The 13,428-nt window shown below is 41.7% G+C and overlaps 1 protein-coding gene across 20 annotated transcripts in view, besides 2 other annotated features; it reads right to left on the bottom strand.

Moving 5' to 3' along the window:
* RBPMS (RNA binding protein, mRNA processing factor) overlaps nt 1-13,428 on the bottom strand; it is a 187,716-nt gene that overhangs the window by 138,535 nt on the left and 35,753 nt on the right. The gene's annotated exons all lie outside the window — the stretch shown is intronic.
* Nucleotides 6,132-6,631: an enhancer, noted in NCBI's record as "H3K4me1 hESC enhancer chr8:30284607-30285106 (GRCh37/hg19 assembly coordinates)". NCBI's record gives its function as "activates a minimal SCP1, AML or CMV promoter by ChIP-STARR-seq in naive H9 embryonic stem cells {active_cell/tissue: H9 hESC(naive)}" and the evidence as "EXISTENCE:reporter gene assay evidence [ECO:0000049][PMID:30033119]".
* Nucleotides 6,632-7,133: an enhancer, noted in NCBI's record as "H3K4me1 hESC enhancer chr8:30284105-30284606 (GRCh37/hg19 assembly coordinates)". NCBI's record gives its function as "activates a minimal SCP1, AML or CMV promoter by ChIP-STARR-seq in naive H9 embryonic stem cells {active_cell/tissue: H9 hESC(naive)}" and the evidence as "EXISTENCE:reporter gene assay evidence [ECO:0000049][PMID:30033119]".

Genomic DNA, 13,428 nt, shown 5'->3' with positions numbered 1-13,428 from the left:
GATCCTGCCAGGTAGGTAGAATTCACCCTCTTTTTCTTTTTTTGTCTTTAAGACAAGATCTCACTCTGCCACCCAGGCTGAAGTGCTATGGCCATGAATACAGCTCACTGCAACCTCTGCCTCACTGGCTCAAGAGATCCTTGCACCTCAGCCTTCAGAGTAGCTAAGACCACAGGCATTCACCACCACACCTGGTTAATTTTTTGTAATGTTAGTAGAGACAGGGTTTTGCCATGGTGCCCAAGCTGGTCTCAAACTCCTGGGTTCAAGCGATCCTTGATCATGATACAACTTTTGGGTAGAACCTGGTAAATTACTCCAAACTACATATGACAACCCAACAAAGAAAATGCACCCCTTAAAGATATTTGAAAAATCTAAACATAGGGAATGTTATATTTTGCCTCCCTTGTGAATGTTTACTTTGTTACACAATTAAGTGGCCATTGAAAGAGTAAGTTTTTTCAAAGTTCTGGAAAGTCATCTTAACTTAGGCCCCAGAAAGAAATGGAATCTCTTTTAGTAATGACTCTTATTTTCTTTGAAAGTTCACGTTTGGGTCAGCCAAGTTTTAAACGGTAGAATTATATTGCTGTGTTGTTAGTCAAGTTTGGGGGGAGTGAGGCCGCTGGCTATTTGAATCACTGTAGGACAGTTTATCTGGTTTTTAGACTGAAAGAGGGGTCTATTCTTAGGCAAAAGACATCATTTTAGAGGAACAGAAGCTTGCATTGGCTTTCAGTTGAACGTACTCAAGTCTAGTTCTCCAAATAAAAGTTGCTTCCAGACCCTGTGTGATTTTTCTTGGATCAACAGAATGTTTAAGCGAAAAGGATCTTTCTTTTGTTGCTTCCTTATGTTGCAATTTAGGCAAACAGAAAATAATGTGGAATCGTTTTATTTATTTATTTATTCCCTGCCTTGTTCTAACAAGAACAAGGTGGTCAACAATAACAAAGAATAAATCGAAACTACTGCACAGTTATGAATGAGCCAGAAACTTTATTTGGTTTCATTACACCAGCTATTACCCTGACTTTAAACTATGTATTAGTCATAGAAGCCTACACACTACACTTTATTAATAAAGCCTATCTGATTTTAATATAAGCATCTTTTTTCAATATAACTACTTTCATGGAGGTAGTTGCGATAGGAAGGCAAAACAGGTAAATGACACAAATTAAAACAATAATTCCTGACTGATGAAATCGTTTCCTTCCAAGGAGGATTTAAGTAGCCTTTGGCACCAACATCCTCAAGGGACACAGAAAGAAGTCATGGGCACCTCTATGGTCATGGTTCTGTGTCAGCACCAGATCACAAGAGGACCTGGTGAAGATTTCTTGCTTAAGAGTAAAAAATATTATGTAAATGAGATGCAGGGCTAACTTGTCTGCAGTCTTCCATCTAACCAAAGACTCAGAGCATCTCATCAGACAATGGGATAGAAAATAGTTACTTTCTGCCGGGAGAGTCAGTTTATTTAAACAACTACTGGATCACTTCAAACTTTGTTAATAAGTAAGAGATTGGTTGGTTCAAAAGAAAAAGTCTTTGAAATGTCAAAATAAAATTTGTTTTTGGTTCTTTTTTGAGACAGGGTCTCACTCTGTTGTCCAGGCTGGAGTGCAGCGGCGTGATCATGGCTCACTGCAGCCTTGATCTCGGGCTCAAGTGATCCTCCCACCTCAGCTTCCCAAGTAGCTGGGACCTCAGATATATGCCATCATGTCTGGCTAACATTTTTTTTTTAATGTTTTTGTAAAGACAGGGTCTCCCTATGTTGCCCAGACTGGTCTCCAACTCTTGGGCTCAAGCAATCCTCCCACCTCGGCCTCCCAAAGTACTGGGATTATAGGTGTGAGCCACAATGCCTGGCCCAAATAATGTTTTAAACTCTTACTTGACATAGCAGACTTGTATAATCAGGAATAAATATACTGATAAGTACTATTATTGAAAGAGAGGGCTGGGCGCGGTGGCTCACACCTGTAATCCCAACACTTTGGGAGGACGAGGCAGGCCGGATCACCTGAGGTCTGGAGTTCGAGACCAGCCTAGCCAACACGGAGAAACCTTGTCTCCACTAAAAATACAAAAATTAGCTGGGCATGGTGGTGCACGCCTGTAGCCCCAGCTACTCTAGAGGTTCAGGAGAATTACTTGAACCTAGGAGACAGAGGTTGCAGTGAGCCAAGATCACACCACTGTACTCCAGTCTGGGCGACAGAATGAGAGAGTCCGTCTCAAGAAAGAGAAGAGAAGACAGGACAGAAGAGAGGAGAGAAGAGAAGAGAGAAGAGAAAAAGAAAGAAAAGAGAAAAAGAAAAGAAGAAAGAAAGAGAGAGAAAGAAAGAAAGAGAAAGAAAAAAAAAGAAAAGAAAGAAAGGAGAAAGAAAGAAATGCAGGGGATTGGGTGTAGGCCTTGACTCTACATTCCAAGTAAGGCAATCTTTCCTATGAAATTTGAGTTGTCCCCTTACTATGTGACACCCTATGCCACACAATAAAATCAAGAACCAACATGCTATTTTTTCTCCCCCTGGATACACTCTGCCAGTTATACCATGTGCTCCCCAGTATATGTAGAATAATGCATGCTTCCCAGTGAACCCACTGCAACCCCACATCTTCCTCCTCTCCCATTCAATTCAAGGAAATGCAAGTGATTGAGACTAATAAAGAATACATCTGAAAACCGCTTCATACATTAAAAATACACTCACAAATAATTACTTATGCTACTGCATTTTAATCATCTGCTTTCACTTTTCATCAACCTCACCAAATAAGAAGGCCTTGTTTTATTCGTCTTTAAATTTTAGCAACTTGGATAGTGCCTACTACATGGTAGGCATTTGATATATCTTTTTGGAATAAATGAACTATAAGACATAGGTATTTTTTAAATTAATAGTACTTTTATCCATTTCTAAGTAAATGAACATGAGGCTATAACTTTAGTCTTTAGGAGAAACCACTAAATATGGTGTTAGTAGATGTCCCTCAAAGCTATATGTGTAACTCAAACATGTATAAAATGATTGCCACAATGATTACTCTACCACAGCCAACAAATAAGTGAGATAGCTACTAGGAACTTAAACACTACTCTCTTCATACAGCATTTAAATAGCAGTGATTTTGACAATGCTGGATTACTGCATTTTTGTTCTTTGATATACTTGTACTGTACATTGGGAAATGGATGAAAAGTTATTAAAAACTCAGTACAAGATGTTTTCTTTACAAACTCTGAAAAATGTACCAAAAAATACAGTGTAGGAATATGCACAATGAAGCCTCTTCTTCGCTGTCAGCTTGCAAATACCTTGGTTCCATGTTACAGAATAGAACCAAGACGTACAACTTGTTACTCCTCCAGAGATACTATGGGTATAAAGTAGTATGATTCTCTTCTCTATTGACAACAGGGGGACATATAAGACTTCAGATTTTTAATTTATTTATCTATCCATCCATCCATCCATCCATCCATTTAAGACAGGGTATCACTCTAACCCAGGCTGGAGTGCAGTGGCATGATCACGAGTAGCTGGGACTACAGGCGGGCGCCATCATGCCTAGCTAATTTCTGTATTTTTGTAGAGATGGGGTTTCACCATATTGCCCAGGCTGGTCTCAAACTCCTGGGTTCAAGCAATCTGCCCGCCTCGGCTTCCCAAAGGGCTGTGATTACAGGCATGAGCCCCTGCGCCGGGCCAGATTTCAGATTTTCAAATTTGCCAAGTTTCTGTATAGATTCTGTAACTATATGGCTATAATCAAAAGTATTTTTCCACAAATCAAAGTTACTAGGGCTTGGGCATCTAATTTTTAAATTATTTAACTTCTTCTAAAACATTCTCCCTCTTTCACTTTAAAAATTAAACAGTCACAAATTGGACTACATTTTGAAAAGGAGACAACAGCAAATGTATACCATATGTAAGATGTGGAAACCTGGAGATAATAGCACAATTTATTGGGCTGCTATCTTAGAAACTATGTAGACACCAAGAAGCCAAAACATGAAAGGAAATGGCTCCAAGGAAGTCAATGACAGGGATTTTGCTGGGTGACTTAACAACCCAATTGCTAAGGACTTTTTGAGATGTACTGTAATTGGCTAGACCTTGATTACAAAATCAGATTATAGACTGTTTTTATATTTCACTACAAAAATTTGGGGGCATGTATATCAATCACTGGATGGGGTGGTTGAGGCTTCTAACACTGTCATTAGCTTAACTGTTCTGCTAAAAAGGAAAACTAAATACCCTTCCAGGAGGCCTGGATTTCATTGCTTTTAATTTAGTCAAAATTTAGTTTAAAATGCACAAAGGAAATACTGCCTGGGGAGTCCAGGAAAGCTTTCAAGAAGCAAGCCATGTGCTTAAGACAGACAGGGGCTCCTGTATAAAGAGGGAATAGAAGGTCCCCTCTGAGGCCCCCCAGCCAGCCACGTGGCCATCCACGTGATGACAAACACCCCTCTCCACATCCCCAGCACAATGTGACATCACTCCACATTTTGGGACCTCAGTTTCCTCATCTGTAAAGCAAGAAGGGGCTGGACTAGTCAAGCTCCTTCTAATTCTAAAATACTATTCTATTTTATGACTTTAGCAGGATACTTCTATCCTGCCTACAAATAAAATACACTAAGGAAAGAGCTCCTTCAATGACATCTTTTTTCTCACCACCTTTGATGTGTCTTAGAAGCAGAAGCAGATGCTTCTATGATTGTTTCTCATGGATTCCCATGTGCTTTGCATGTTACTAGTGGAGCTACAAATGGCGACGCCACTACACACATACTCCCCAGCTTATTGGGGCTACTTTGAAAAGGGATTTGAAAAACACAAGGTTTTTGAACACATTTAAATCATACCATTAAAATAGTGTACATGAGTTTTCTTACCCTTAAAAAAAAAAAGCCTTATATTCCCACAGTACGTACTTGTAAATGGCTTAAGGTCCTCACACAGATGCCAGTTAACTTTATAATATAAGGAAATGAACAGTAGATTATAGAGTGTCCTACCGAACCTCTCTGGGAGCCCTGTAAATTTAGATTTCTTTATTTTATCTATGCTGAGATTAAACTTGGAGAATGCAGAATTAACTTAATTTCTGTACATCTATATAATGTTCTCTCCAATTATGCTGGGTTATTTTTAAGAGTTTCTCATTCACTCAATGATATGCTTAATGTTATGATTAAATATCACAATGGTTAACACTGCTGATTTTTTTTTTTGAGACAGCGTCTTGATCTATTGCCCAGGCTGCAGTGCAGTGGCATGATCACAACTTACCACAGCCTCCAACTCCTTGGCTCAAGCGATCCTCCCACCTCTGTCTCCTGAGTAGCTGGGACTACATGGGGTCCCATGGCCAGGTGCAGTGGCTCACACCTGTAATCCCAGCACTTTGGGAGGACGAGGCAGGCGGATTACGAGGTCAAGAGATTAAGACCATCCTGGCCAACATGGTAAACCCCATCTCTACTAAAAATACAAAAATTAGCTGGGCGTGGTGGTGTGCACCTGTAGTCCCAGCTACTCGGGAGGCTGAGGCAGGAGAATTGCTTGAAACCAGGAAGCGGAGGTTGCAGAGAGCCAAGATCGCATCACTGCATTCCAGCCTGGTGACAGAGTAAGACTCCATCTCAAAAAAAAAAAAAAAAAAAAAAGATGGGGTCTCATTTTGTTGCCAAGGCTGGTCTCAAACTTCTGGCTTCAAGTGATCCTCCCACCTCAGTCTCCCAAACTGCTGGGATCACATGCATAAGCCATGGCACCTGGCCTAGTTGCTGAATATTTCACCATGCACTAGGTACTATTCCACTTTACTCAGATTCTCCCCCACCCCAACAAGCCTACACCTGAGGAAACAGAGGCACAAAGAGATGGCAAGTCACAAAGCTAGAATCTGCGTCCTGTGTTCTAACCCCACAACCCACTTGTATAAACTCTGGATGGCAAACATATCTAGCACCTGACAACATGCTGCATGATCAAAGACGATTAAGACAAGCACTTAGTTTACAGGCGGTGGAGTCTGCCAAACACATAAAAAATAATTACAACATGATATGTATGCTGTAACACAGACCTTTAAAAATTGCCATGGAAAGACAGGAAGAGAGAGAGTTTGCCAGGGGAGTTCAGCGAGGCTTCCATTTGATCTGGGTACTGAAAGACGAGCAGGCATTCCTGTAGTGGAGGAAGAATGGAAGGGCATTCCAGGTAAAGAACAAGATGTGCTGAAATACGTAAAGGTGAGTGAACTCAGTGTGAGGTGAGGGAATTCAGTGTGGCAGTAGGGAGAGACAGGGAGGGGACAGCACTGTGAAGATTTGACAGGCTAGCTACCTGGACCCCTTTCAACATCAATGCCCATTTGGCTAAGAATGGCCAATAAAGCAGGGTCCCCTTTATAGTTACCTCCTGAAGTGATCACATGTGATAGAGCTGGAGTGGGTATGGAGTTCTGAAGACTTTCAAATGCAAATAATTCTGGGGTACAAACAAGACATTAAGAACAATAGCTGAATTCACCGATTAGCTTAATTTTAGAGCCACGAGGCCCAGGCTGAGGACGGCACACAGAAGGGGAGGTCGGCCTGGCGTGGTGGCTCATGCCTATAATCCCAGCACTTTGGGAGGCCAAAGCAGGGGGATTGCTTGAGCTCCAGGAGTTTGAGACCAGCCTGGGAAACAAAGCGAGACCCCTTCTCAAAAAACAAAAGAAAAAGGGAAGGGGCAGTAAACAAGTTCTGATGTTGAATTGCCATATACTCTAAAGCCTAGGTGTGTGGCCCTTAAAGACCCATGAACAAAACATTGTGTGTATGTCTGTGTGTGTTTTCTGGGGAGGATGCCCACAGGCTTCACCAGACTCTCAAAGGGATCAACGATCCCCCAAAACATGAACAATCACTGCTTTCAAGCCAGCTGGGAGTCAGACCTCCGAGCAACCTCTACCACCTGGAGAAACCCCAAGACATAGTAAGCAAAAAAAAAAAAAAAAGAAAATCACTGCAAGCAAAGTGAGAAAGTAAACTCTCCCTTCCTCGCTCCCTTGACTTTTAGAAACTACGACAAACACTTTAACCTCAGCCTGTTCAATGCCTTTAAGATCAGAGATAGTCATGTTTGCCTAACTTTATTCAGGTCCTATTACGCAAGCCTGCTACCTATTCAGGACCCCAAATGTTCATGATCTGCCGATAAGGTATTCATTCACCCTTCAATTTGTAATCTAATTCTCCTAAGAAAAGCCTCCCGTCTAAACAGTGAAAACAGTAGGAAAATGCAGGAAGCTGGATCCACAGGGCAGGTACTTAATTAACTTCTCTAAAGTAATATTTAAAAGAAACTTTAAAAATCCAACCACACTTCAGTGAAACTCATTTTAATTTTCTACCACAAGATTAAAAGGATGACTGGTCCCTGAGGAAAAAAATAATCACCACGGAATCTGAAGACAAGAAACCTTATTTACAGATGGGCAATTTGGCCCCTGGTGGGACATGAACATTGAGCCAGCATCTCCAGCATCTGTCAAAATCCTCACATCTTTCAGCACCGGCACTGCCAGATTTCACTGCTGAACTCCGTGCTGCGTCTTTAAAGCAGTGCAGTCAAGGGACTGTAAGTAACTTTTCAGGAAAGAGACAGAGAAGCCTGCAGGCACTCTTTGGGCACGGTGGGAAGCAGCATAGAGTGGTGGTTAAGAACAACACCATCGATAAGAGTCAGCAGCCGCCTGGTCTCAAAGGCCAGCCTTGATCACATTACAGCTGTGTGACCTCAGGCAAGTTAATTTCCCTCTCTGCTGTTTTTTTACCCATGAAATGGGGCTCAGAACTGTACCTCCTCCTAGGATTGTTAGGAGAACTTAGGAAGTTAATGTCTGTAAAAATGTTTAGAACAATATCTGGGACGTAGGAAGTGCCTGACAAATTGTACACTAACTCTTACCAAAACCCTTTAAGAAAAAAAGCCACCGGGCCGGGCTCGGTGGCTCATGCCCATAATCCTAGCACTCTGGGAGGCCGAGGTGGGCAGATTGCCTGAGGTCGGGAGTTCGAGACCAGCCTGGCCAACATGGAGAAACCCCGTCTCTACTAAAAATACAAAATTTAGCGGGGCGTGGTGGCACATGCCTTAATCCCAGCTACTCAGGAGGCTGAGGCAGGAGAATCGCTTGAACCAGGGAGGCGGAGGTTGTTGTGAGTCAAGATCAGGCCATTGCACTCCAGCCTGGGCAACAAGAGCGAAACTCCATTTCAAAAAAAAGAAATTAAAATTACGCTACATATCAAATATACACATATAAAATACATACTTAAATTATGGATGCAGAGAGGACTCATGCTATATATACGTTTCAATATATTAAGGAACCTAGCCTTAGCTTTTGAAGGAAGATAGGAATTTCCATAAAAGTAGTAATAATGGAATAAATGCCTATAATCTCAGCACTTTGAGTGAGAGGCCAAGGCGGGAGGATCACTTTAGTCTAGGAGTTTGAGACCAGCCTGGGCAACATAGTGAGACTTTGTCGCTACAAAAACTACAGAAAATTAGTTGGGCGTGGTGATGCATGCCTGTAGACCCAGCTACTTGGGAGGCTGAGGTGGGAGGACTGCTTGAGTCTGGGAGGCTGAGGCTGCAGTGAGCTGAAATTGTACCACTGCACTCCAGCCTGGGTGGATGACAGAGTGAAACCCTGTCTCTAAATAAATAAATAAATACATGGAATAAAAAGTTAATATTTAATAATGGGCTAATGCTAATTTGTGTGTGTGTGCGCGCGTGTACCCAAGAAAATAAAATCCAAGAGTGTCAAAAAACTTGGAAATACAACAGCCATGCTTCAAAGGACTAGAGCACAAAAAAGAAATTGTCACTGATCACTGAGCACCGCTTTTACCGTGCTTTAAAGGTTACTATGTCTAATAATAAGGGCCTTCTTTCTAGATCAAATTCTGTACCAGACACTGTGTAACATTTTACATATCATATCTCCTTTAATCCTCACAACTCCACGAAGTAGGCATTATTATCCTCATTCTCTTCTTACAAACAGATGAAAAGATTAAGATCTAGAGAGGTTAAAGATCACCTAGCCAGCCAAACGGAGCAGAGTATGAACCTAGTTATGAATCCAGTATAACCATGCACCCTTAGTAACTAACTTATAATTAAATTTCCAATGTCACAAAAGCTGGGCTTATTGACCGACTGCTCTATAACCTGCCCTCATTTCATGTCTCAGTGATATCCCCTTTCAAATAATTATAACAATGATAGCAACTTTCCACCTGTTGAGCACCTATTTACATTCTATTGAGGCATGATCTATAATTATCGCTACCATCCATATGCAACTCTATGTTGTGGATTTTGTTATTCCCAATTTATTCAAGAAGAACTAGCTTCAAAGAAAGTAACTTGCCCAAGATAGCACAGCTAATAAGTGTCAGAGCCAGGTTAGGAGACCAGGATGTCAAACCTAACACTGGCTGACCCAAAACTCATGCACTATGAAGACATCAAAGCCCATCCAAGGCCCAGCATGGTGGCTCATGCCTGTTCCCAGCACTTTGGAAGACGGAGGTGGGCAGATTCCTTGAGGTCAGGAGTTAGAGACCAGCCTGGCCAACATGGTGAACCTCTGTCTCTACAAAAAATACAAAAATGAGCCGGGCATGGTGGTGCACGTCTGAGGTCCCAGCTACTTAGAAGGCTGAGGCAAGAGAATGGCTTGAACCCGGGAGGCAGAGGTTGCAGTGAGCCAAGATCGTGCCATGGCACTCCAGCCTGGGTGGCAGAGTGAGACTCAGTCTCCAAAAAAACAAAACAACAACAACAAAAAAAACAAAAAACCCATCCAGATTTTTGTAATACAAACCTAGTTTAAACCCCCGCACCATCCTGCCTTTCTTCCTGAGAGAGATCTTCTCTCTTGGCAAGGGACCCATGTGACTACTTATCTCTGAAAAACTAAACTAAGATTTACTATTTCCGGGAGGTCCTCCCCTCCCCACCCCCAACCCTCAACTTCCTCCCCACCAATTCACCCTGCAGATTGTTTGGTCCTGAGACACAAGCAGAAATAAATAACTAAAAGAGAGACGAAAGAAGAAATGGATGGGAAGTGGCCGTTACTCCTACAATAGATGGCCCCTGAGCCCCTGGAAGCCCCGCCCATACTAGAGAACAAGCACAGGCCTAACTCAGGATTTGCCAGGCCTTCCCCTTTGCAGCCCAGCCCTCACTGTCCCCTCCGAGGTAGCTAGGCAACCAGGCCCTGCATACACAAAGAGGAAAGAGGTGCCAAGCCCTGCCAGACAGGTCTTCAAGCAAAAGCAGAACTGGTGACCTACAAATATCCACAAGGTGCCGGAACACATGAACAAAGAGATAGGGACAAGTATTACAGATGTTTGAGAGTCTGGATCTCCAGTCGAAGAAAGAATAAAAAGAGCCCTGGTACAACACTGGTAGACAGAGAACTGGTAGGCGAGGCTGGGAAACCAGATAACAAAGCCCACGGCGATTCAGAACCCAGAGTAAACAGGCTGGAAGTGAGGCTGAGCAGCTCTCCTGCCTAAGGCATGGACTTTGCCAGGTACATTTCAACTGCTCGGAGACCTGGAGCCAGGTCCTGGTTCTCAACCCCACTTGGGATAGCTGCAATGAACATGATGGCTACAAAATGAACCTGTAGAAGAAAGGGACTTGCTGCGATCATAGAATTCCCTGTTTCACCCATTTCCCCAGCACATGAAGTAGATAAAAAGAAATATTTATTGAAAATGCAACTCTTGTGTCAGTAAAATACATCCATCCAATACCATGAATTATAAACTTGGGATATTTTGTTTTAAAAGTGCATTTGTTATGTATTTTTCCTATGATTTTCTTGGGTGTGGTTATCTACACAAGAAAAAGATGAAAACAATGAGCCCAGATAGAAAGTTTTCTAAAATCCACACTCAGGTATCTATTTAAATTTGTTCAGAAACGTACATTTGGGTTTCTCTTGTACATTATTAAGTTCCTACAAAGGAGGTGCTACGGAACACTCTCATGCCTAAATGAGGCGCAGATTTCTATATAAAATAACAGCAGGCCAGGTGAGGTGGCTCAACGCCTATAATCTCAGCACCTTGGGAGGCTGAGGCAGGAGGACTGCTTAAGCCCAGGAGTTCGAGACGAGCCTGGGTAACATAGCAAGACCTCTATTACTAAGAAAATTTAGTATTATTATTATTTAAGAAAATTTCGGCCAGGCGCAGTAGCTCAAGTCTGTAACCCCAGCACTTTGAAAGGCTGAGGTGGGTGGATCACCTGAGGTCAGGAGTTCAAGACCAGCCTGGCCAACTGGCGAAACCCTATCTAAATTAAAAATACAAAATTAGCCAGACATGATGGAGGGTGCCTGTAATCCCAGTTACTCAGGAGGCTGAGACAGGAGAATCACTTGAACCCAGGAGGTGGAAGCCAAGATCGCACCACTGCACTCCAGCCTGGGTGACAGAGCAAGACTCCATCTCAAAATAAAATAAAATAAAAATAAAATAAAATAAAATAAAAAAATAAGAAAAAGAAAAACAACAGTAGATTATCCTACCCATCCCAGCCCCCTACTGCTTTTAAGAACTTTTTCTCAATTACCTACCTGGTTATTACTTTATTCTTATCTCTATCATAGCAACCAGCTTTTTTTTTCTTTTTTCTTTTTTGAGACAGAGTCTCGCTATGTCACCCAGGCTGGAGTGCAGTGTTGCGATCTTGACTTACTGCAACCTCCGCCTCCCGGGTTCAAGCAATTCCCCTGCCTCAGCCTCCCGAGTAGCTAGGACTATAGGTGCGTGCCACCACACCCAGCTAATTTTTGTATTTTTAGTAGAGACGGGATTTCACCATGTTGGCCAGGATGGTCTCGATCTCTTGACCTTGTGATCCACCTGCCTCAGCCTCCCAAAGTGCTGGGATTACAGGCATGAGCCACCATGCCCGGCCAGTAAAACAGCCTTTTTAACCTTGTGTGTAATACTTTCCACCTAACCCATAAAACATGTGAGGATATGACATTATCCTTGGCACATAGTAGGTACCTAGAAAATTTGTAAAAAATAATTTGTCATGTTTGGCTTTCAAATGTAGGAATACTAAATATGATATTTGAAAATGATGTTTGTACTTAAGGAATTTTTAATAAGAAACACAAACATAACAAAAACACTATAGAGGATTTATGGAAACATCACCACAAAGTAGTGACATAATTCCTACATGTTCTTTAAGAAATTTACTTTAAATGATTGCTGCACATTTGCCTGTCCAGAACTAAAGTTAAATTATCCTGGTGGCTGCTGTCTGGTGATAATTTCTTAGTGCCAGGAAGCTGGTGAGTATGTGATTAAACATGTTTCCCCCTTAGCTCCACCCTAGATGCTATCAGGTTTGCTAACCAGAAGGTTCTGCAGCTGACCAGCTCATGCGCACACTCACACACACACACTCTCTCTCACACACACACACACCTCCCTAAGAAAACAAATTTTCACAAGAGTAATTACATACAAATTCTAAATCTCTAACCTGTACTTTTAAGCTCATCATCTTCACAATTCAGCACAAATAAATTTAAAGCATGGGATGAAAATAAATCAAAATTAGCCATTTTCATGACTTCAAATAGGTAAGTATTTTAAACTTTTAACTGATAATGTCACTAAAATACTAACTAGCCTGTCAATTGACTGAAAGTTTCTAAACCATTCCTAACTACTGTTCCTAGATAGACCCCGGACTCTCTTCATCTTCTGCCCTGATGACCCTTCAACTCTGAACTACTCTGCTACAATAGAGGAAGCATTTACAGGGAAAACACTACAACATGAAACACGAAGGCTTGACAGATTTTCCTTTTCTCATTTTATTCAAGTTCGGCAAATGTCTAATAGGTTGATTCCCTGCATAAGTAATTTTCCCAAAAGATAGTATCTTTCTAATTGGGAAATGAAGAAGCCTCCCGATAAAGTCTACAACATTGCTGAAAGTTAGAATCACATGCAATCAGTCCAGCCACTGAGAAACACTTCAACTGACCCGCATGAAAAATGCCCATCTAGCTCTGTGACCTTAAACTAGTAACTTTACCTCTGTGGACTTCAGTTTCATTTGGTGATTTGTCTCTTTTAACTACAATATTTCAAAATGGGTTTTGATATCCGGTGTGGAAAGTCCCCCCGAGTTCTTTTCCAAATTTTCTTGGCTTTATGTATGTTTATAAGTCCAGCTGACTTATAGATTAGCTTGTCAAATTCTGTTTAAAGTACTTGGGAATTTTTATCAGAATTTCATTTAATGTTTAATTTGGAGAAAAGAGACTTTACAA

This window comes from Homo sapiens, chromosome 8 (assembly GCF_000001405.40).
Source record: "Homo sapiens chromosome 8, GRCh38.p14 Primary Assembly".
In the NCBI taxonomy this organism is placed as follows: Eukaryota; Metazoa; Chordata; class Mammalia; order Primates; family Hominidae; genus Homo; species Homo sapiens.
Note: the sequence above shows the minus strand (reverse complement) of the source record. Positions and strands in the feature narration are given on the sequence as shown.